Source organism: Homo sapiens, chromosome 21, assembly GCF_000001405.40.
Source record: "Homo sapiens chromosome 21, GRCh38.p14 Primary Assembly".
NCBI classification, from domain to species: domain Eukaryota; kingdom Metazoa; phylum Chordata; class Mammalia; order Primates; family Hominidae; genus Homo; species Homo sapiens.
The window spans coordinates 13701255-13725940 of record NC_000021.9 but is presented as its reverse complement, the minus strand read 5'-3'; the positions used below and the strand labels follow the sequence as shown (position 1 = coordinate 13725940).

At 44.5% G+C, this 24686-nt stretch overlaps 2 long non-coding RNA genes, 1 other non-coding gene and 1 pseudogene across 4 annotated transcripts in view, besides 1 other annotated feature; all 4 read right to left on the bottom strand.

The window, feature by feature from the left end:
• LOC112268283 (uncharacterized) overlaps positions 1-2437 on the bottom strand; it is a 29739-nt gene extending 27302 nt beyond the window's left edge. The window contains exons 1-3 of one of the 2 annotated variants that reach the window (XR_007067922.1): positions 2222-2437; positions 1707-1885; positions 790-884 (exon numbers count right to left, since the gene is read on the bottom strand). This is a non-coding gene — a long non-coding RNA (uncharacterized LOC112268283). The remainder of the gene's footprint in view (positions 1-789; positions 885-1706; positions 1886-2221) is intronic. The other variant, XR_007067923.1, reaches the window with a different exon arrangement.
• On the bottom strand, positions 1667-1752 carry MIR8069 (microRNA 8069). The gene has a single exon (NR_128718.1). It is a non-coding gene; the product is annotated as a microRNA 8069 (primary transcript).
• Positions 6519-6813: an enhancer, noted in NCBI's record as "tiled region #13119; K562 Activating DNase matched - State 9:DNaseU". NCBI's record gives its function as "activates a minimal TATA promoter and a strong SV40 promoter by Sharpr-MPRA in K562 cells {active_cell/tissue: K562}" and the evidence as "EXISTENCE:reporter gene assay evidence [ECO:0000049][PMID:27701403]".
• On the bottom strand, positions 12088-20060 carry LOC107985482 (uncharacterized). Its single transcript, XR_001754957.1, has 3 exons — positions 19995-20060; positions 16622-16724; positions 12088-12584 (listed from the first exon to the last, which is right to left on the bottom strand). It is a non-coding gene; the product is annotated as an uncharacterized LOC107985482 (long non-coding RNA).
• LONRF2P5 (LONRF2 pseudogene 5) lies at positions 20423-21088 on the bottom strand (annotated as a pseudogene).

Genomic DNA, 24686 nt, shown 5'->3' with positions numbered 1-24686 from the left:
GGGAGCTGCAGATCGGAGCTGTTCCTATTCGGCCATCTTCTATCCACTAACCTTCAAATTCTCACACCCGGAGGTTAGTTTCAGAAGATCATAGAATTTGTCATTGTGTTCAGGTACTTAGTATCTCATCTTTAAATAATAAAAAAGCATTGTCTGACACTGTTTTAAAACTATATTTAGAAATACCAAGAATTTAATAGCCAAGATAACTTTGAAAAAGAACAAAGGTTGAGGATTTACATGATTAAACATCAAAACTTGGTATAAAGCTAAAGTAAATCAAATAGTAAGGTATTAGAACAAGCATGGACACCTAGAATAATAAAACAGAAAACAGATCAGAAACAGACCTTTCTATATACAGTCACCTGATTTTTGACAAAAGCACTACTACAATTTAGTGTGAGGAATGGCCTTTTCAATAAAAGGTGCTGGATCAACTGGATATCTATGAGGAAAAATTTATTTTGACCCCTCCTCAAACCCTATACAAAAGTGAGTTTGTGATTTGAAAAAATCACATCAACTAGATCTGAGACCCTGCTGAGAAATGTAAAATAATGTAACCTCTTAAAAAAGAATGTAGGACATTATTTTTATAATGTTGGGATAGGCAATGATTTTCCAAATTGTACATAACTATAACTAACCATAATTGATAAATTAAACTTTCATAAAATTAACAATTTCTGTTCATCAAAAGACACCATTTAGAGAGTGAAAAGCCAAGCCACACACTGGGGAAAATTACTAAAAATACAAAAATTAGCCGGGTGTGGTGGCACACACCTGTAATCCCAGCTACTTGGGAGGCTGAGGGGAGAATCGATTGAACTCGGGCAGCAGTGGTTGCAGTAGCCGAGATTGCACCATTGCACTCCAGCCTGGGAAACAAGAGTGACACTTGATCTCAAAACAACAAGAACAAAAAAGACTTAGCACTTATTACGTAGTCATTGCTTCCATTTGTGTATATTGACATATACACAAATGAAATACATATTACATTTATAGTAATATGTATTTCAATACATATTACATTTATAGTAATATGTATTTCAATACATATTACTATATATGTAATTTTATATATAAATTAAAATTTATATATAATAAATTTTTACTTATATATTTAATAAATATATGTAATTATATATATTTGTATATATACAAATATATAATATTAATACATTTATTATATTATATATAATAAATGTATTATTGCTGCTATCTATAAACACACACTGTGTTGCTATTACTCCTGTAATCCCAGATGGGCAGGGATTTACTGTGAGAAAGTTGAACCTCAACTGGAAAAGTATATGGTTTTGGGGTTTTGTTTGTTTGGGTTGTGGAAAAATAGATGTCAGAAAACAAAGTGGATATCAAGATACTAGAACAGTAAGAATTTAGGTCTGGGTCTGGAAACGACATTCGAACATCAATATGTAATAGTAGTTCATGTCCAAAACTCACAAGTGAGATTATCAAACTCCAGGGGAGTCTATTAATGTGTCCATAAAATCTACCCCATAATTTTGACATAATTTTTCCAGCCCAAAATACAACTGACATCATCTTATGGGTCCGGAAGTGCCATACACCAAGCAAAATTTCTACCGGAGAAATAACACCGTAATCGTTTGGGGAGCAGCCTGACCAGTGTTCCCTGAGTTACGCCGACCGCCCCCAACCATCCTTCTCACCTAATTATTACCAGGTCAGGAAGATGTCCTGCTGCACGCTCAGGCGGTCACTCCTCCTTTCCACAAGGCCCATGTCCGCACCGTTCGCCCCGGGGCTCCCATGGCCCCCGACCTCCAGTCTCCGGCAACGATGGACCCTCACAGACACGGCAGGGAGCGAAGGGCGCACACTCACCTCCCTGGAGTCAGTGGGAATAACCCCGGGCGCTCTGAGGGTACGTCCCACACCCGGAGCCGCACGGGCCCATCCCCGCCAGGTCCGGGCAGGCAGCCCGAGCCCGGGACCCCGCCTCCCCCGCACCTAGGGTCCGGGCCGAGCTTGGCAGCTGAGGTCCCGCTCCCACTCCCACTCCCAGCGCCTCCCCCTGGCGGCGGCGGCCGCCTGGGAGGCCCCTCCCCGGGCGCTGCCTCCTCAGAGGGTGACTGCCGCCTGGCCGGGCCGGACAGAGGCCGGCCCCTCTTCCAGCTCCTCCTCACCCCCCGGAGGAGACGGGGGACGGGGATGGGGTTCTAACCAGGCAGCAGGACACAGCAAGGCCAGCCACGGCACAGCCTCCTCCTCCACCATCTCACCAGGCTCCCTGCCAGGGCCGGCGCAGGGCAGCGCCTGAGCTACTAGGGAGTCTGGTCCGGCTGCTGCTCCGCCGCCGCCGCCGCCTTCTCACAGCCACAACAACACTGCAGCAGCGACCACACAGAGCGCGCTCCCGACGCCGAGCCGGGCGACGAGCGGGGACGCGCTCGCACGCTCGGGCGCTGAACCCGGTGTCCGGGGAAGGGGGCGGGTCTCCGCGGGTTGGACGGGGGCGGGGCCTGGACAGGTGGTCACGCCCCAGGAGATGGGAGGGGCTGCAGCCCAGACGAATACCTGCGGCTGGGGAGAGGCTCGCGAAAAAGACCAGCGGAGGCAGAAGGGCTAGACAGATGGGAATTGGGCGCAGGAAAAGCGATGACAAAAAAAATATCTGGAAGAAAACCAAAGGTGGTCCTACAAATTTTTAGGAGGCGTCTTTCCCTGGGGAAGACATGGCTCACTCTACTTACCAGAAAAATAGAACAACAGTGGTATCTTTCACCTGCAATTGTGGTCAGGATAAAACCAGTTTAATATAGTGCAAGTAAATGTAGTGTTTTAGAAGATGTATTCAGAATACAATTTCGTTTTTTCTTTTCTTTTTTTTTTTTCTTTTTTTCTTTTGAGACAGAGTCTGGCTCTGTCTCCCAGGCTGGAATGCAGTGACATCTCAGCTCACTGCAAACTCCGCCTCCTGGGCTCAAGCGATCCTCCCACCTCAGCCTCCTGAGTAGCTGGGACTACAGGCGCAGAACATCATGCCCGGCTAATTTTTGTATTTTTTGTAGACATGGAGTTTCTGCCATTTTGTCCAGGCTGGTCTCGAACTCCTGGGCTCAAGCAATCCACCCACCTCGGCCTCCCAAAGCACTGGGATTACAGGCATGAAGCACCGCACTCGATCCAGAATACAATTTCAAACTGATTCAACTTCAGCTCCTAATCAAAAGCTTAGCGGGAAGAAGTGAATTTTCAAACAAAATAAAGCCCTCCCCCCAAAATTGTAACCTACCCACACTAGCCTGCGGAATTCCACAAACCAGGATTGCATTACCGTAGGCCCTAACAGATTCACCTCTGAGTTGCCTTTTAACATTCTACCCTTGATTTTTCTGGAAACTGGGAGAACTAGTCAAATGAAATCTATTCCTGCATCTGTTGTAAAGTTTTTCCACAGCACTTTCTGAAATTTATTTTCAATGTTTATTGTTTTTTCACTCCACTTAGAATGTAAAAGCTACTTGAAGATGAGGATCTTGTTTGTCTTGTTCATCACTATTTCCCCAGCACCTGAAACTGTGCAGGCTAAGTAGTAGGCAGTCGGATTTCTTGATAGCTGGCTGGGCGCAGTGACCCACGGCTGTAATCCCAGCACTTTGAGAGGCTGAGGCGGGTGGATCACCAGAGGTCAGGTGTTCGAGACCAGCCTGGCCAACATGGTGAAAACCCGGATCTACTAAAAATGCAAAAATTAGCCGGGCATGATGGCAGGCGCCTGTAATCCCAGCTAATTGGGAGGCTGAGGCAGGAGAATAGCTTGAACCCGGGAGGCGGAGGTTGCCATGGGCCAAGATTGCGTCACTGCACTCCAGCCTGGGCGCAGAGCGAGACTCTGTCTCAAAAAAATAAATAAAATAAAATAACAGCTAACACTTATTCATACAACTCATCTAATTGAATCTTCACAACTTTAATAGGTAGACGCCGTTATCTCCATGTTACAGATGAAGAAAGTGAAGCACAGAATAAATTGCACGTATTAAAATTCAAACCCAAACCCAGAAGACAAACAAAACAAAACAAAACAAAAAAAACCACTGTGCTCTCACCCACCAGGCTGTACTGCCCAGTGCATGACACAGTAGCCTGAAATAAAATCTCAAGTAAGAAATTACTTTAGGCTGGGCGCAGTGTCTCATGCCTGAAATCCCAGCACTTTAGGAGGCCAAGGTGGGTGGATTGCTTGAACTCAGGAGTTCCAGACCAGCCTACGCAACATGGCAAAATCCCACCTCTACAAAAAATACCAAAAAACTGGCCAGGCATGGTGGTGCGTGCCTGTAGTCCCAGCTATTTGAGAGGCTGAGGTGGGAGGATGGCTTGAGCCTGGGAGGCAGACGTTGTAGTGAGCCCTGATTGTGCCACTGCACTCCAACTGGGTGTCAGAGCGAGAAAAAAGAAAGAACAAAAGAAATTACTTTAGAGGTAAATTCTTGGAAAGCCCTTGCTTTAGTACCAGGAAAACCAGCGCGCTTCCTGCTTTTTGATAACTCTTATGCAGCTGATTGTGTCTCTCTTTTCACTCTGGCTTCCAGAAAGCCCAGGGCTAAATGACCAGGGCTCAGCAATGACCTCTGCTTGGCCCTTAAGGTCCACTCCTGCCTCAACTTTGCACCTTTATTTATATGTGGCTGTCCTGATTTTCCCTTTCTGTTGTATGACTGTAGGCTTTATGGAATGGGAGAAGAAATAGTAGATACATAAAATTGATGAATGACTTAAAGTCTTTTATTTTATTTTTTGAGACGGAGTTTCGCTTTTGTTGCCCAGGCTGGAGTGTAATGGCGGGAACTTGGCTCACTGCAACCTCCACCTCCTGGGTTCAAGCGACTCTCCTGCCTCAGCCTCCTGAGTAGCTGGGATTACAGGCATGAGCCACAACACCAGGTTAATTTTTTGTATTTTTAGTAGAGACAGCGTTTCTCCATGTTGATCAGGCTAGTCGCCAACTCCTGACCACATGTGATCCGCCTGTCTCGGCTTCCCAAAGTGCTGGGATTACAGCCGTGAGCCACCATTCCTGGCTCATTTTTATTTTTATATTTTATTTTATTTTATTTTCACACAAGGCCTCACTCTGTTGCCCAGGCTGGAGTGCAGTGGCTCACAGCCACCAGGTGAGTTGGGCCCACAAGTCACCCTTGCTAAGAGGCAGAGTCCAGAGCAGGACATGGGTAGATGCCAAAGGCAGCACTCCCTACTCCACACATGGGTTTCTTTCAAGTAAATCACCAGCCAGGTGAGGTGCATACAGCATCTCGGGAGATGGGACACCATATTGTCCCCTCCTTCAGCCAGGAGGCCCCACACTGAGCGCCACTGCCTCCACTGTCCGATGCTACAGGAGAGACGTTTCCTGCTGGTTAAGGAAGTGGAAACTGCAGATCACTTTTCATCTTATTGGAAATCACTCTTTGACACTTTTGCCTCATCTTCACTCAGTACACATTGACTCTACCAGCAATGGTGTAAAAATAAACACAGCTTAAGGAAATAGGAACCCTTTATTCCTGGGACTTAAAAGCTTGACTTTCTCCAGTAAGTCAATTACCAGTGTCCATGGCAGGAACAGCTCTGATGCCAGGGTTGACAGCACACTGGAAAACAGGAGGGTGTTTGCATTTCTGGGGCCTCAAGTAATGAGAGGTTCTTCCAAGAACACTGACAGGGGTATTGTTGCCCTATTTTAGAATTATTACTGTGAAGATCAGGGAATTTCAGTCGGTTGAACTCATGCCACAGCACCTGTGCTTTTCCAGTAGGGGAGGGATGGAGTCCAGGGCAGGGGTCCCCCGTCATGGGGGAAAGCACTGTGATGGGATGGCTGTGGGGGAATTAGAACCCTATAGCAGATGGGATAGGGTGGGGAGTCTACATATTTTTATTTGGATGCTTTGATGGAGTAAAGTTCCAAACCAAGCAAGTATCAGGCAGAGGGCAGTCCAGGCTGTGGTGCTGTGCTGTGAGGCTGGGAGTCCAGGCAGGTCCTGTGTTCACTGGTCACTTCCACAGCCTGAAGCCCCTCGAAAGGACATCTGCACAGAGGCCTGCAAGTGACTTCAGGATGCTGATGATGCCCTCAAGGTGAGAGCCAGAGAAAATCCCATCAACTCTGCCAATCAAGGGCGTCAATGGCCACGTGTGTGGTTTTCTCCGGCAAAGAACAAGCCAGTTTGCAAACCATGCTTTTGAAGCTAGAAAAAATGTCTGTATTCCTTCAGTGTCTCCTGAAGGCTGGGTCCCCTGAGAGTTGATTCAAATACCGTATTCTCGTATAAAATATGGTAACATTTAGACCTGAAAAATGGCCTGGGGGATAATCTTATCAAACCTCTGATGTGGTTATTTTCTAACTGAGTATATTGAAGGCTGGGGAACAAAGCCATCTGGTGCCAGCATCCTAGCTGCTCTCTCTCCTCCAGGGGCTTGCCTTGGTTTGGGGCCTTTCCAGCAAAATTAGGCTGGAGAAATGAGATTTTAGTTAAACAAGGCCCACTGTTGCTTTAAAACAAAATGTCAAAGTTTTTAAAAATGTATTAACTAGTTCTTTTGGCCAAGAAATCAATAGATGCACTTCCTTTCCACTGTGCAGGCTCTGAGCTGACAGAGGAGTAAGAGCTTGAACCATCTACGTGGTCTGAGTGACCACATCCTTCACTCAGAGCCCTGTTCTACAGCAGATAATTCTGAGTCACCCCAGCTAATGGCCGTGCACAGCATCCTGATGCTCTGATTAGGCTGAAGGGCATGTGGCGTGGTGGCTAGGCTGTCTCAGAGAGCACCTCAGGCTGGGTGGACCAGGCTGACCCAGAAAAAGGCAATGGGCCTTTGACAGGGACTAGCTGGCTACTATCTGCCTCTTCTGCAGTTTGGGACACTTAGGGTGATGGGTGAAAGTGTTTTTCCATATATAGTGGACCGAAAGGAAAGGATACTCATGCCAGTGTTCAGAAAGTGTGTGGGTTTCTCAGGTAACATTACTGCAGCCACTGATGTCTAATCCAAAGAGCTCTGAATGCTTGCTATAGAGATTTGTAGTTTTAATACTGAAACCCCGAATATTCTGATTTCCTCATTAAGACCGACCTAACATGAGCTATGTAGTCAGCTAAGGTATCAACGGAAGGAAATTGCCAGTGGTTTCCCTCTTATTTTCCTCTGAGGTCATCTGAAAACAACTGCAGTGAGGACAGAGTTCGTGTGGCACTGATGGCTGTGTGTTCCCAGGTCCAAGCATGCACTAAATATTTAATTCATTTGAATATAAATAAGTTAATAAATATGAATACATTAATAAATTAATTGGCATATTTTTAGTCCTGTTGCAGTTTCAAACTCACCGATTTGTCCAACTTCTTTGCACTGAGTTCTTATTCAAGTGAAGTATTCCAGTCTTGTGACTAGTACTTCTGACATAGTAATAGTAACAACTAATATTTATTTAGAACTTTAGTTTACCAAGCACACTACATTTTATTTTATAATTTATTATTTATTTATTTATTTATTTTTTTAGTAGAGACAGGGTTTCACCATGTTAGCCAAGATGGTCTCGATCTCCTGATCTCGTGATCCGTGCTCCTCGGCCTCCCAAAGTGCTGGGATTACAGGCGTGAGCCATCGCACCCAGCCTACATTTTATTTTTACATTTTGTCTTTACAAACCCCCACGGGGCAGGCATTCTCCTTACACGCAGTGTTAATTGGTGACACAGAGGGTCAGGGGTTTAAATGGTTTCACTGTAAACAATGTAATCTAGTAGGATGTTGCTTTCCTATTTTTCCTAATACTACCATGTTTAGATGTGGGTGGCTGAGTGGGAGTATATGATTTCCTGTGTATGTATAGATGTAACCCACACTCACGGGCGGAAAGTTCTGCAGGCCGAGAAGTGAAGCCCTTTGCTGAACAACCACCAACAACATTCTAGGACCCCCACACCCTTGGTTCTGCAGGCTACACCCCTCCCATCTGCTTAGAAGCAGAAAGAAAACTCTGCGGTTACTTTTCCCTTTGACAATAAGCCGCGGTTCTCTTCAACGTTCTCCTGGGGACTTGGGTCAATGTTCTCACATGCAAATGTTAGCCAGGCCGAGAGTTATTTTTTTCCCTACCCCTGCAGATTGATCATGGCACGCAGCTGCCCCATACTGTATTTTGGTCACCCCCATCAGCATCCCATCTGCTGCTTGTGCCTCTGGCCAGCTTCTTGCATGGTTCTGACATGGTGCTGTCACTCTCACATTATTTGCACACATTGTTTACCTATAGCTGGACACATTGTTCATAGGAGCCCAGCTGGTAAGGTAAAAATATTCCAAGACTGTGCTGATAAGCTACTTCTTCCCTGCATCCTGGGCTGGTGAGAAGCTAAAGAGGAATGAATGCTCTGCCTGTGAAGAGGCCGCACTGCAGAGAGGAGGAGGCAGAGATGCAGTCGTCACAGCCCCAACACCCTGCCTGGACCTGGTTTTGTAGATCCAGGGAAGAGTTTTGCACAAATTCTCACTGGGAGCATTGTCAGGGCTGCAGCACATCACTCTTTTTTGACCTGAGTCATTTTAACATTAGCTCTAATGCCAAAAAAGATGAAATTGAAGTTGCCAACATCTGGTGGAAGGCAAAAACCAGCGAATTTCTACCCAGGGAGAGTTCCTCTGCAGGGCCCCTGCTCCTGGTGGCCTGGAGTTGGGGAGGCCTCTGGAGCAAGTCAGGGGATGGGATTCTGGGTTTTCTTCCATTTTAGTATTTTCCTATTTTGACATCTTTGAAAAATGGCTCAGCCTCATGGTGTATGGGTCTTCTGATTGCTTTTGTCTTGATTTTATTCTGACTGAGGGGCAATGGCCACTGTGGGCTCCTCATCCAGGATGAAGAGGGCCCCTCCATGGCCTGGGTCCATCCATGCTGTTCACGGTGGCCTCATGGATCATCATACAAAGGATGATCTCAGTGATGAGCTTGAGCCTTTGCAAAATTAAATTATATGGGTTTATAAGATGCTTGCCTCAGGATCAGTGACATCAGGCCTGTCCCTGCTGCTAGCAAGGCCAACTTTATAATGTGCTATCATGGTGGTAAAGGCATCACCCACTTGATGGAGATCCCAAAGACCAGCTCTACTCAAGACAGATTTAAGCTAAGTTGCCTGGGAGTCCCTGGTGCTTTTTCAAGGTTCTACTGAAGACAATGCCATCATCCAGGTATCTCTGAATGCCTACGTAGCTCTTGCCTCAGGAGCTCTGAGACCCCATGTTATCTATTTTTGAATTGGCCAAGGCCCCTAGCCAGGAAAGGGATGCTCTTCCCATCCTTGTCAGCCCTCGTGTCTTGTATTCCACCCCACAGCCTCCTAGCAAGCATCTCAGTGTCTGCAGGTGAGCATGGCTGAGTTCAGTCTTGCTTACTGCAACTATAGACATGAGGCCTGTGGAACTAAGAATCCTCTCATTTGCTGACTGGCATTTTGTTTAAGTCCCAGATCACTAATCTCTGGCAAGACAGTCCTCTTTGTGTTTCCTGGTGATGGACTTGAGTGATTTCAATGTAAACAGTGGCTCCACCTGGGAGGGTATCCCCTTCCCACGGGGAGGGGGTGCATAGCCCCTGCGAGGTTTCTGCTGTCGTCTCATCCTCCCACTGGGCTTTTCCCCTGCAGATGGCCTGGTGCCCACACTGCCTGCAAATGGCCACTCTTGCTTGTCCCAACCCCACCTTCACTGCAGCTTCCCAGAGCCCTAGAAGGGCCGGGCCCTGGCTGAGCACTATTCCTAGGCCCTGGATGGCGGGTGTGGAACTATGTACTTGTCAAGGTCATTTCCTCTTCTATTTTCATCATATTAAGTAAATCCCTCTCTCATCATGAAATGCCCTGGAGAGAACAGATGCATGGCTGTGGAGTCTTGTTCTGGGATATGTCAGGTATGGGCTCAGGTGTGTGGAGGCTACAAGGGGTGGACAGGAATGGTCTTTCTCTCACTGTGAATTGCATGTTTTGTGCCAGCCCAAGGGTTCTGTGGAGGAGAATCAGCTGTTCACCTGGCTGAGTCTAACCCTGGGATGGTGACAGCCGAAACCCCAGCTCCATTCCATGACCTTCCCTAGGCTGCCGCATGGGTTCCCTGGCACTGTCACTGGGCTAATGCATTCTATCTCCTCCTGGGATGAGGCCAGCCTTTAGTCATAGTTTCTGCCCATTCCACATCATTCTGCCTCCCACCCTTGGCTTTTTCAAAAATCCGATCCAAGCGTGTGCAAGGGGGCTAGAAACATGCTGTCCACAGGGAGCTAAAATACACTAAGTTGAGAAACCAGCAGCACATGCTTTGGAGCTCTCACACCTTCTGGGAACTGAAAAGCAAACTCTCAGAGATGCCTGGAAATCTTGGGAGCACACGAGGTCTCTGCATATATTTCAGCTGCAGATGAGTTTCTAGTCAAAGTAAAAAACACACGAAGGGCATTCACGTTTCCAGGAACAGAAGCATCCTGTTTGGTTTTTCAGAGGTGAAGGGAGCAGTCTGAAGGGGCCGTGGCATAGGTGTGTCTACAATCAAAGCTCACAGCCAAGGCCCTGGGGGAGGTTCAGGTGTGCCCCAGGGGGTGCGCCCCATCCAGCACTCCACTGACAGGGGCCTTGTCTTTATTAAATTCTAGGCCTTTTCCTGGGCACTAGTTACAAAAGGGGGGTTCAATGAACCCTAGGTTCTGTGGCTGCCACCCATCTCAGGGTTGCACAGGTAATGATCACCACCCCCTCCACCTTCTGCTGAGGGTCCTGGTGACCCCCTGGTGGTGTAACCCAGGCCCTCACCCCTAAGGGGCCCTCAGCCTTGCCCACCACAGAGTCCTTGGTCTAGGGCTCCCGCACTTGTCCACATGCCATCAAGTGCTGTGTACCAGGAGGTACTTGCGTGGAGCCCTTTCTTCCCCAGGCAGCGCAGCCCTGCTCCTGCTGACACCATGGTCCAGGTGGTACCCATTTTTCTGCCCGCAGGTCCCATGGAGGAGCAGCCTGAGGACAAAGCAGCACCCAGAGCTTGTTTTTTTCAGAGAACCTGGCCCTGCCCTGGCTAGAAGCCCCACAGCTGTGGAAACCAGGACCTCCTGCTTTTCAGAGCCTAGATGTGCAGGATATAGATGCACCTCAGAGGTCCTGGGTATGATGTGGAAGGTTGGGGGACACTGGGCTTCCTACTGCTGTGCTCCAATTGCCACATCTTCTACCTGGTGGGACAAGGCAGCTAACAAAGGTGACAGATTCATGCAGACACTGTGTCCTCCCACATCCTGACCTGGCACCTGTGCCACACTGCTGGGTCTGAAGCTCCCAGGAGCATGTGTGTGCTGTGACCAGTGGACCTATGGCATGTGCCCTCTTCCTCCCTCTGTGGCGTGAAATCAGTTCCTCTGATGGTGTCATGTGAGGTCTTGTCCTGATGGGTAGAACTTTCTATAAACCATCCCATGGCCCCGGGGAAAGGCAAACTCATCCCTTCAGGTTTAGCTGTTTCTGTTAAATGCAACCCTGTCCTTCCCAGGGCATCAGGTCCCAGTGCAGTTGTCCCAGCCTGGCAGGAACTCTCCTTGAGGATTGTGTGGAGGGCGCAGCCTGGGCCTGACTCATGACCCTGGCAAAGGGCAGGTGAGCCCTGGGGCTGACCACCTGCACTTTCTGTTTGGTGGTGGGAGACGTGGGGCAATATTTCTTGCCTTTCCTTTAGAGAGCATCTCCCAGCCTGCCCAGACCATTAGACCCCTAGAAATGTGACTTGTAGGCAGGGCCTGGCTCTCCGTGGTGCTTTTCTCTCCCCTCCAAGCACCTGTGACTCTCAGGCATCCAGCCCTGCTGGCTTCCCCCATCTGAGCTCCTGATGCAGGGTGAGGACTGTATTGTGGCAGACAGCATGCCGGTTTACACAGTTCTGGGAGAAAACTATAGGTATACATTATTTTACGTCCCAAGTAAATGAATCCCATTTATCGATACTTTTTTTGGCACAGAGGGAAGAAATGCATTGGTGAGATCCATGGGCCAGAGTTCAGGCCTGTGCTCAGGCTCTGGCAGCAGCTGTGCAGCTCTGGAGCTGTTGCGGAGTGGGGAGGTGCTGTGTCTTTGCTCCCGGGTTAAAGGCTTTATTTGTTTCTTTGTTCAGTTTGTTTTCTTTGACCCCTGTTCAGCAATACTGAAAATCAAGCATTCCTAAGAGGTGGAGACACGGCTTTGGAGCAGGGGTGGGCCATTGGGTGGAAATGGAAAATAGGTTGATAGTGGGAATTTCATTTTCTGGAGCACATGTGCAGCCTCTTGATGGCCTCGTCACAAGTTCACCTGATGACGTGAGTGGCCACTGTCCTTCTCCTGATCAGGTTGCATGCTTGCCACGCACATGAGCAGTGCATGCTCACATTCTTCAAAGTGAACGAACTAAGAAGGATTTGTCAGCAGATTGTAAGCCTGAAGCTGCCAGTGTTTGGTCCACAGTAAACCACATGTGGAGAGCTTAAAAAAATGCCCTCAAATCTGGCAAGAAAATGACAATAATAAATTAAATTATTACCGTAATACACATTTCTTTAGTTACAATTAGATGTATTACACATATAACTAACAATTTTGCAGAAGTTTCTCATCTACCAGTATTTATTTATTTTTTTATAAGTTTCCAAGGAACCCTAATGATGGGGAGTGTCTCTTTTAAAATTAAATTTTGTAAATAACTCCCAGAGCCATACTGGTAAGAAACAAAACAAAACTAAAAGAACTAGAAACGTGAACAAACATTGGATTTCTGCTGGAAAAAAGGTTGCAAAGCAGGCCTGCCTGCTGCACTTCCCCAGAGCTAATCCTTGAGCCGAAAGAGCTTTCTGGTGAAGCCTCGCACTCTCTGTAACAGGGTGTGGGGGGCACCAAGACATGCGGGCTCCAGACTTGACCATCTTTACCTACTCATGGGATTTCAATCTTGTCTTTTAAATTCTTTGAGCTGCAGTTTTCACATATGTAAAGTGAAAGTATTTTTAAAATTGTAATTTGTGTTATGGCCTTGTATAAAGATAAAATAGTACATTTGAAAGCATTTTAGCTGAAGTCAAACGTTCACGTGTGTGCATGCAATGGCTTCTTAATTATTTTAGGGCTTAACCTGGTTTCACTAGTACTGTTACTAGCACTGCTACTTCTCCATGTCTCTGAAGACTATGAAATACTTAGAACTGAAGCAACAAGAAGCACCTGTCAAAGGGTTCTATGGCCGATGACAGATTTGACACAACTGGATATAATAATATGTTAGATGGTACCCAGAGATGCTGTTCAAAGTCAAAAGTGTCCCTAGAATTCTGAACCTGCTGAAGCAGCCTTCAGAACTGAAGTTGAGAAAAGTACATTTTCAGTTAAAGAAAGTCTGTGAGACTGTGTTGCCATCGAACCCAAACCACGATAAATGCAAAAGAAACTTGATCAGGATGAAGAAAAATAATAATTGGAAATTCTAGTTCACAGAAAAGATGAAAATGTGCCAAAAATAGTAAATATGTGGAGGGGAAATTACTGTTTGGATGACATCCTCCAGGAATTACAACACGTACAGAAGAAAAATCTATGACAACATGGCACAAAAGATGAGAGGATGGTAAGGTAAGGTTTTTATATTTTATATACAGTGTTATGATATTTAATATACATTAAGTATTTATATTTTAATTTCTGAACAACTCACCAAAAATAAATAAATGAAACAAAGTCATAGTTAAAAAAAAAAAACAGGGTACAAAATCCATACTAAAAAAAAAAAAGAAAACCCCATAAAACAAACAAACAAACCAAAACTGCAATAATCCAGAAGAAGATCAGGAAGGCGGAACACAGACTGTCAAAGTAGGTAAAAAGGAAACCTCAATATCCACTTTTAAAAAGAAATACACTTATGAGATAAAGATATAAATAGATTCGAACTGAAAAGATGGACAAATATACACTATGCAATCTTTTTTATCAAAAACTGCAGCCAGTGTATTAATGGCAGGTAAGACACACTGCAAGAAAGACAAGCATCACCAGGGATAAAGAAGGATGTTTTATACCAATAAGCCCATTTGCTTAGAAAACCTAATAAGCATAAGCATGCATGCACCTAAGAAACACAGCAAAATACATGAAGCAAAAGTTATTGAATTAAAAAGATAAATGCATAAATCCACAATTTGACAATTCTAATTATTATATCTCAGAAATCAATAGAAAAAATAACTACAACAATAAGACTACAGGTATTAATAGGAGAGATTATAACCAGAGCACCAGGAGAAAAACAGCAATATCCAATATGCTTACAACTATTGGTTGACAACTCAAAAGTTCCCAAAAGAATTTTTGACACTAAATAAAGGTAAATAGCCTGGAAAGCCTGCAAGCCAGCATAGGAAGGAAGTGGAAAATGAAATGTTGATGGAAAATAAATCTGGAAGTCCGGGCGTGGTGGCTCATGCCTGTAATCCCAGCACTTTGGGAGGCCAAGGTGGGTGGATCACCTGAGGTCGGGAGTTCGAGACCATCCTGACCAACATGGAGAAACTCTGTCTGTACTAAAAATACAAAATTAGCCGGGTATGGTGGTCCATTCCTGTAATCCCAGTTACTTGGAGGCTGTGGCAGAAGAATTGCTTGAACCCAAGAGGCGGAGGTTGTGGTGAGCTGAGATCTCCCCATTGCACTCCAGCCTGGGCAATAAGAGCAAAACTCTGTCCCCCCAAAAAAAGAGAAAAGAAAAGAAATCTGAAAAAAGGAAAAGAGAATTGAGGATAAAGCTTTGCAAATACAAAATCCAAAATCAAATGATAGAAATAAGTTCAAATATATCACTTTTTCCTACCAAACATAGAGGGATTAACCTCATATATTAAAATACAAAATTATCAATAACAAAGCAGCACTTTCAAATTAAAGAAATAAAAAAATAAAAATTTTATAAAAATTTTAAGTAAATATTCACAGAAAGCAAGCTGCTATCACAAAATTAATTTAGTTCAAATAAAATTTAAGGAAGAAATAATAAACAACAGGATAGACACTGCACATGGATGGACAATAGAACCGAGTAGGTGAAGCAACGTCAAGTCCAATGCTGGCCTCGCCTCCAGGACATACAAAGAAACTAACAGGATAGAGCAGGTCTAGAGAGGGACGCTGGAACCCATACTTCTGAATTTAAACGGGAAATAGACAAAGATGTTACGTGTTTATAAAAGGTTTTAAAATCACAACAAATGCTGAATATACGTCATTTTCTAGTATATGTAATACTTACCAAATGGGACACATATTAGGTTGCAAAAGAAATTACAAAAAACTGGAGCTAGCGACCAAAGGACTAAGATAACTCAGAACAAAAAACACGCCCCATATATTTTAGGAAAAAACGGCACAGTGATTTAATGGTAAATCACTATAAACATGAAGGGATTCACCCAGAGTTCAAGACGACAACATGTGTCAGCCTGACTTTCTGAATGACTGCACAGGAAAGGCTGCCATCCAAGGAAGCACAGAAAAGGACACCCCTTAGGTCCTGGATGGAGGAGGTTGTTCCCCAAGTCCTGCTTGGAGAAGGTGGCTCTGGGGACCGCATGGGGAAGGATGCCCCTTTTCCAGCCTCCCCATCCATACTTCTCCTGACCTGTTAATGTAGAACAAAGAGATTTGGAGGAAGAAACATGGGACTAAACTTTACTGTTTTCCTTTTAATCAACATTTTATAAATTCTAATTTTTATTTGATAAAAATAAGTGAAATGTATGACATAAACACAGTGTAACAACCGATTAGACCTATTTTTCCAATCTGAGTCCTGGCTACCGGCTCTATTAGTCATTCTACTTTTCTGTATTTGTAAAGCTTCTCAAAATTAAAGATAAAAGAGTTTATTGCTAGTAACATGTATAAATAGACATTGAATAAAATGTGACTCTTTAAAAATTAGTTTATTCTATGGGCTTCTTTTGAAAGGTTATGATGTACTAAAATTACTAGCGGATCTTTATTACAAGCTCACTGGTAAAAATAGACAATGTGGAAATATTCTAATTTGTTAGAAATTAGTGTTGAATGAGTATTAATCAAAACTTTAAAACCAAAGTACATGGACATAAGAATAAATTATTCGACTTAATTATCCACTGACTTTAAATTCTAGTTGCTAAATTTACTTTTTGCCCATTTCACCTCCTTCAAATCTCCAAGTAACTCTTCATTTTTCTCTCCTGTCAATATTTTATTCTCCCTTATTTTTTTTCTATTTCCTGATTTTTTGAACAACTCCAAGGGAGTTGTGTTTTGCTTGTGTTGAATGACATCATTACACCAACCCATTAGGCAACTAGACCCTCATCAAGGTGAGCAATAGGAGACTTCAGACCACAGAGCCTCTCCTGATTTTTGACTCAGGCTACCTGGCAACCGTGTTTAAATTATGAGTTGTTTAATTTTTTAGATCCCCTATAGATAAAGAAGGATTTTAATAATCATCAATTTAAAATGCACTGGGACACTTTATGACTGACATTTCTTGCAGTTTCTGTGCTGCGGCCTCATGAGTCTGTAAGAAACATCCTGTTCCTCATTCTGCCCTTGCTCCTTGGACTCCAAAGGGAAAAGCCAGAAATTCTGTGGATATAAAACATGGAAACATTCATTCTTTAAAGAAAAAGGCAGTAAAGCAGAGATGAGAACAGGGAAAGGATGTTATTGAATACATGCAAATGGATAAAATATGAATGATCATGTTCTCATGTTCAACTCAATTTTTAAAAGTGGATGTATGAGCAGTGCCAGCATTTAGTCAGACCATGGTGGGCCTGTGGGCTAGAACAAGAGGCCACACTCAAGGAGAGATGGCACTCACGACGTGGGGCCTCTGCTCCTTTATGACTCCCCTTCTTCAGTGACCCAGAGCACCCTCCTATCACAGCCTGTAGGGAAGAGGAAGGTGTTAGGGCACTTTGAATCACAGCGGAGTGTGTGTCTACATGCTCTCCTCACATGCCACAAATCTGCATCGCTTTACAATATTTCAATAGATTATGAGTAAGGAAGATCGCTGCAGAACCAGTAAAAGCTGCTCTCACAGACGATGCGCTAAATTGGGTTTTACAAAGTATTGTGAGAGATCTCGGGAGATGGGGAGCAACCTGCTCATAGATTTTGCCAAAATCAACATTTAAACACCTCCGTTAGGCAGAAGAGCAGTGCTACTGGAATTAGTTAGCAGCTCTTTCCTGCTGAACATCTCTCAGCCTCCAGACCCTACAGAGAAGAGGCCATGACCTAAAAGCAGTTTAAAATCTTGAAAAATAGAAGCTAAGGATTAAGTGAATATCGAAATTTGGAAAAGGAGAGAAGACTTTATTTCTTGTAGAGGGTTACAGCCTGCAAGGTGGCCACCCCACAGGCTGGGAAGAACAGCCTCCTGCCGAGACCAGCGATGGGCACTTCCAGGAGGAGGGGTTGGGGCAGGAGCTTTGGGGTGAAAGGGTTGGCTAAAGATACACATTCATCAGGTGACAGGCATAACAACATAAAACCAGCTGTAGGTAACACAGAATGATTCTGATACTGATGTTCAATTCCACACACTAACAGACGTGAGAACCTCATTCACTGCATGTGGAGAAGGCACTGTATCTGCTCTGTGCTGGTCCAGATGACTTATATTTATCATTGACTGGGTCTGCATTTTCTCTTCTCTAGATTTTGCTTATCCTGCAAAGCTTGTGCTGGGACTTCATTTCTAAGATTGAGTTTAAGCTGAGCCTCAGAGGCTTTATTGCAGCTACGGTGGATATGGCTTGGTTCCCTGCAGTACTCTCTGGAAAGTACCTTCCTCCGTTTGAAATCCCTGACATGGTACCTCCTACAGCCTGCACAGCTCTGGCCTCTGCCATGGGTCTCATGGCCTCTGCTGCTAAAACTAGAGAGGAGGTTCATCCCCTGCCTCTTTATAGAGAAGAGCCGCTTGCTGACTGAGCTGAAAAGGGACTCCCCACTGAGCAGGCTCACCAGTGTCCCGACAGCCGGGCAGATCATGGGGACGGGGAATTCTGAGCAGACCCTCTTCAGAAATTGAGTCTCAAGGGGCCTTGGGGAACTTGGTCAGCAGATGGCAAGATTTCATCTGTCAGTGGGTGGGTCAGCTTAGTGGGACTCCTGTCTTTGAAACTGAGACTCAAATCTCTACTCTGTACCGAGACAGAGATGGGGGCCAGGAAACAAGACACACAACCATTTTCCATCATCGAGGGGCAAGGCAGGGCTTGGCATGAGGCAGAACCGGGCTCCATCAATGCCACATGTCAGGAGGAACCCCTTTTCTGTTTCAATCCCTCCTGCTCATTTGTGGGAGGCATTAGAGAGGCCTGACATAGTTTTTTTTTTTTTTCTCCACGGCCTGAGGACGTGATAGGATTTCATTCCCACCCCACCTTGTGGTTGGATGGAATCATGCACCCAGTTCTGGTCAAGACCAAGAAACTGAGGTATCAGTTTTCTTTGTGTGGGACCAGGAAAATGGCTCTAATTTGGCTTTGTGTTTGTGCATGTGTGTGAGAACAGACAGGTAAATGTGTGTAATGGAGAGTGTGTGGGTGAGTGTGTACATGTGTGAGAGTGTGTATGTGAGTTATTGTGTGAATGTTTGTGAAGAAATAATGGTGTTTGAACTTGGGAGTATGAGTGTGTATGTGGAATATAACTGCGTGTGGATGTGTAAATATGAGTGCGTATGTGTGTTAATGTGTGTAAGTGTGTGAATAAGCCATGTAAGTGTGGTGTGTGAGCTTGGGCCTATGAGTGTGTGTGAGTGTGTGTGTCTGTGTGAGCATGACAGAGTGTGTGAGTTTGGGGTGGGCGCAGGCCACATCCAGCCCCTCCTGGGGTACTAGATCTTTCCAACCCAAGAACCTCAACTTGTTCTTCCTCACTCCACCCTGAGCTTCCCAGCCAACTGTCTCTCATCCAAACTCCCACAGGGAAACAGAGTCCCTGGGACCAGGGGTTCTGAGCATGGCACAGTGCCAAGTCTCCTCCCTTGCCACCTCCTGAGAACCTGGGTGTAGCACAAAACAGTCAAATATGTTCCTCTTCTGTCATCACTAACTAGAGCTCCACAACTTCCCAGATCGCCCTGTTAGCTCTTCACCATAATTAGCTATTTTCGGATGTCATACTAACATTCCTTAATTATTCCCTCAGAAACAAAGCAAATCCATGGGATGCAGAGGGTACGCAGATGATTTCTGCTCGGGAGAGAAGCCCAAACACACGTCCTAGGCAGAGCCCAGAGACCTGGAGTGTGGCCGCCAGTGGGCTGAGGGACAAGCAGATAGGCCTCAGTGGTGGCTGCCAGGTCCCTGGACACCGGTAGCCACTGGCCTTGCCTCTCCTCTGCCTCAGAAGCACCGGAGGCTTTGGGGATCTGGTGGTCCTCCGGCCCTAAACATGCACCTGGCGTGACAAAGGGAAGTTTGCCATCTGCATCCTCCTCAAGCTGCCTGTGCACCCCAGTAGCACCCACCCTCTCTGTGCTCCCTTCTGCACCCCATGTCCTGGGGTCCTTCTTTGTGCTACACCTGATGACAGGAACCAGTGTCCCGACTGTGACTTGCTTACCCCCTCAGGGACACACAAGCACTTTAATATCGAGGCTACTTTTCACCCCTTCTGCCTCCTGCAGGGACGCTCGATGCAGAGGCAGGAGGACAGAGGGGCTGGTCTCAGGTGTGGCTTCTCTCACACCTGGCGCAGGTGGCCACTCCCTGCCCCCCACCCCCCACCTCAGCTCCCGGGTGTGAATGAGAAAGGGGAACCAAGAGATCATCGTTACATGGGACACACCACAAACCCCAAAAAGACCCATTTGGTGAAAAGAAGTAAAACAACCACAAGTCTATTTTCGCCTGAGGTGGTCTCATGGCTGAAGCAGACCGCTGCTCTCCTGTCTGGGCTACTCAAATAGTAACCCGGTGTGTCCTCCCATGTGCATTTTCCTTCGGGTTGAGCAAAAACACTTTGTCATCTTCCCACTCCTCAATAGAGCAGAAGGGAACGAAAGGCAATTACAGGGCCTTACAGAGCTGCTCCGGGGGCCGCGGGAAACTTATCAGCATCCTGGAAAAGACAAAACCAGTGGGTTGCATGTGGCCTCTGACACCTGCCACCCTGACTGCAGGGTGTGGCCACCCCCACCTTTCACCTTCCCATCATTAGCGCCTGGACAAAGCGCTCGAAAGCCCAGGCCCGTGGGTCAGCTCCAGCTGCTCCGCCTGACAGGGGTCAGGGAGGCGGGCCAGCCCCACAGCCAAGTCACAGCTACAGGGCCTGGTCGCACCTGAGCAGCGCGGCCTCGGGCTGCTGCTGGCGCTGCAGGCTCCGCGCCTGACCCTCCAGCCTGAGCAGCGGGCACTTGGCCGGGAAGCACCTCTCCAGCTTGCGGCTCAGCACCACGTTCACGCGCAGCGCCTGTGGCCGCTCGGCCCCGGCTCCACGCAGCGCTTGCAGACCGTGAGCCCGCAGGGCAGTGTCACCGGCTTGTGCAGCAGCCGCGGGCAGCCGAGCAGGTCGCGGGGCGCGCCGGGCTCCAGGGCCGGCCCTCCCTAGCCTGGCGCCTCAAGCTCGCCGCCCGGCTTCCCCGTGAACAGTGGCCGTTCGCGCAGGCCGGGGCACACCAGGCCGCCCGCCAGCTCTGCCAGCTCTCCCAGCTCCTCCGGCCGCAGCGCCTCGAGCCGCAGGGCGACACAGAACGCGCCCAGGGCCACCGGGAGGCGGTCGGCGCGGGCCAGCGCGTTCCCCAGCCTCAGGCACTGACCGCGGTCGGGCTGCGCCAGCCGGGCCAGCGTGGAGCGGAAGAGCCCGGCTGCTTTCTGGTACTCGCTCTGGCGGAAGGCCTCGTCGCCCTCCTCCAATCGCTGGGCGATCGGCTCCCCGCAGTCGCAGCCCGGACACTGGGGCGGCGGCGGGACCGGCTCAGTGCTGATTCCCGCGGGGCTGCGCCCCTGCGGGCCTGGAGCGAAGGCGTGGAGCAGGGGCAATGCGCTGCTGCTGGGAACTGGCCGGCGGGAGCACGGCCACAGCCTTCGCCTGCAGAACGAAAAAAGCGTTTTAAAAATCCTTTTAACATCCGCAGAACGATTTTTAAAACCTTTTTTAACATCTCTGAAGAATTACATTGGAAATTTGTTAGAGATTGTATTGGACCTATAGACTGATTTGAGTATGATGGTCATTTTAACAGTATTAATACTTCTAATTCATAAAAATGGGATAACTTTCCCTTTATTTGTATCTTTTTCAATTGATTTTTATCAATGTTTTATAGTTTTCATTTTAGACATATTTATTTGGCTTAGTTTATTCCCAGGCATTTTTTTATAGCTATTTTAAATGGGATTGGTTTCTTGATTCCTTTTTCAGATGGTATGCTGTTGGGTATAGAAATGCGACTGATTTTTCTATGCTGATTTTGTATTCTAAAACTTTACTGTATTCATTTACTATTTCTGTTTTTTCAGTAGAGTATTTAGGGTTTTTTATACATAAGATCATGTCATCTGCAAACAGGGACAATTTGACTTTATTTTTGTTTTTCAATTTGGATGTCTTTTCTTTTGCTGGCCTAATTGCTCTGGCTAGGACTTCCAGTGCTATGTTGAAGAGAAGTTATTAAAGTGAACATCCTTGTCTTGTTCTAGACCTTAGAGACACAGTTTTCAATTTTTCCTTATTCAGTATCATGTTGGCTGTGGGTTATCATATATGGCCTTTATTTTATGGAGCTATGTTCTTTTTATAACTAATTTGTTAAGAGATCTTATGTTTACAAAAAACATTGAATTTTGTCAAATACTTTTTCTGTATCTATTTAAATGACTATTTTTTTATCTTCCCTTATCAAATGTGGTGTATCACATTTATTGATTGACATATCATAAGCCCTCCTTGCCTCCCTGGAACAAATACAACCTGATTATGGTGAATCATCTTTTTAATGCACTTCCAAATTATGATTGCTAGCATTGCTGGTTTTGAATTGTTGCATTCATGTTCATCAGTGATATTGGCCTGTAGTTTAGTTTTTTACTGTTCTTGTCTCATTTTGGAATATGGTAATTGTGTCTTCATAGAATGAGTTTGGAAGAGTTTCCTCCTTTTCACTTTTTTTGTAATAATTTGTAAATAATTACTATAAGTTCCTCTTTAAATGTTTTGAAGAATTCAGCAGTGTAAGCATCGGATCCTGAACTTTACTTTTCTTTTCTTTTCTTTCTTTCTTTCTCTTTCTTTCTTTCTTTCTTTCTTTCTTTCTTTCTTTCTTTCTTTCTTTCTCTTTCTTTCTTTCTTTCTCTTTCTTTCTTTTGTTCTTTCTTTCTTCTTCTTCTTCTTATTAAATATTTTTGGTTTAGAGACAGGGTCTTCCTCTGTCACTCAGGCTGGAGTGCAGTGGTGCAATCATAGCTCACTGCAGCCTCAAATTCCTGGACTTCAGTGATCCTCCTGCCTCATCCTCCCGTTGTTAGGACTGCAAGTGCACACCACTACACCTGGCTAATTTTTATTTTTATTTTTGTAAAGACTGGGTCTCACTATGTTCCCCAGGCTAATCTGGAACTTCTGGCTTCAAGTAATCCTCTTGCCATGGCCTCCAAAGTGTGAGTTTACATGTGTGAGATACTGTGACAGGCCCTCCAGATTTTCTTGTATTGAGAGACAATGCTTCAATCTCATTATTTGTTATTGGTCTGTTTGCATTTTGTGTTTCTTCATTCTTCAATTTTGATAGGTTATATGTGTTCAGAAACTTATTTATTTCTTCTATGTTTTCTAATTTATTGGCATATAATTGTAGTACTTTCTCATGATTCTTTGTATTTCTGTAGTAACCATTTCAATGTCTTTTTTCATCTGATTTTATTTATGTGAATCTTCTCTTTTTCTTAATCTGACTAAATACATATCGATTGTGTTTATCTTTTCAAAAAATAACTTTTCATTTCATTGATCTTTCATATTTTTGTCTCCATTTTGTTTATTTGTGCTCTATTCTTTATTATTTGTATTCTTTTTTACCAATTTGGGGCTTAGTTTGTTCATGTTTCTATGATTCCTTGAAATACATTCTTAAGTTATTAATGAGAGTTTTCTTTTTTTCATATAGAAATGTATTTCTGCAAACTTCCCTCTGAGGACTTTTTTTGCTGTATTTCTTAAGTTTTTATATGTTCTGATTTCATTTTCATTTGTCTTAAGAAATTTTAAAATGAAACAAAATTTATTTTTTAACCCATTGTTTAAGGACACATTGTTTAATTTGTATGTATTTGCACAATTTCTGAAGTTCTTGTTGTTTATTTCTAGTTTTATTCTATATTGTCAGAAAAGACGTGATATAATTTTGATCTTTTTTGAATTTGCTAAGGCTCATTTTGTGCCTAATATATGATCCATCATGGAAAATGTTCCATGCGCAGTAGAGAAGACTGTGAATTATGCAATTGTTGGATAACATGTTCTGTAAATGACTACTAAGTTATTTGGTCTAGAGTTCATTTTAAATATGATGTTTCTTTGTTGATCTTCTGTCTTGATAATCTGTTTATTGCTGAAAGTGGAATGTTTAGATTTCTTACTATTATTTTATTGCTTGCTGTTTCTCCTGTTAGATCTATTAATGTTTGGTTTATATATTTAGGGGCTTCAATATAGAGGGCATATATATTTACAATTATATTATCTTGTGATATTGACCCCTTTATCATTATATAATGGCCATATTTGTCTGTTTTTATAGGATTTTGCTTGAAGTATATGTTATCTGATATAAATATATCTATACCGGCTTTCTTTTGGTTTCCATATTTATGAAATATATTTTTCCATCTGATCACTTTCAATTTATGTGTGTATTTACAGATGAAGTGAATTTCCTGTAGAAAGTTTATAGTTAGGTCTTGTTTTTAATCAGTGTAGCCATTATATGTCTTAAATGGGATAATCCATTTACATACAAGATAATTATTCATAGGCAAGGACTTGGTCCTGCCATATTATTACTTGTTTTCATGTTTTTTAAAAATTTATACTTTGATTGATTGATTGATTTCACTATCTTCCTTTGTGATTAAGTGATTTACTCTATCAGTGTGTTTCGGTTTCTTTTTTTTTTAATTTTTAAAGTATCTATTAAAAGTTTTTGCTTTGTGGTTACCACAAGGCATGCAAAGAACATTTTATGGTTACAGTAAGTTATTTTAAAGAGATAGCAACTTAATTTTGATTCAAAAAAAGGGGAAAAGAAACCACTCTACTCTTTAACTTCATCACTCCCTCACATTTTGCATTTTTGATGTCTTAATTTACATCTTTGTATATTTCTATTCCTTAACAAATTATTGTAATTATTATTTTATTTGTATTGTATTTTAACCTTCCTACTAAGGATATATAAGTGGTTTACATCCAATTATTACCGTATTAGAGCATTCCAAATTTGTCTGAATCCTCACTTCTATCTGTGGGTTTATACCTTCAGATTTTTTGTGCTACATATTGCTGCCATTTCCTTTCAGTTTGAAGAAC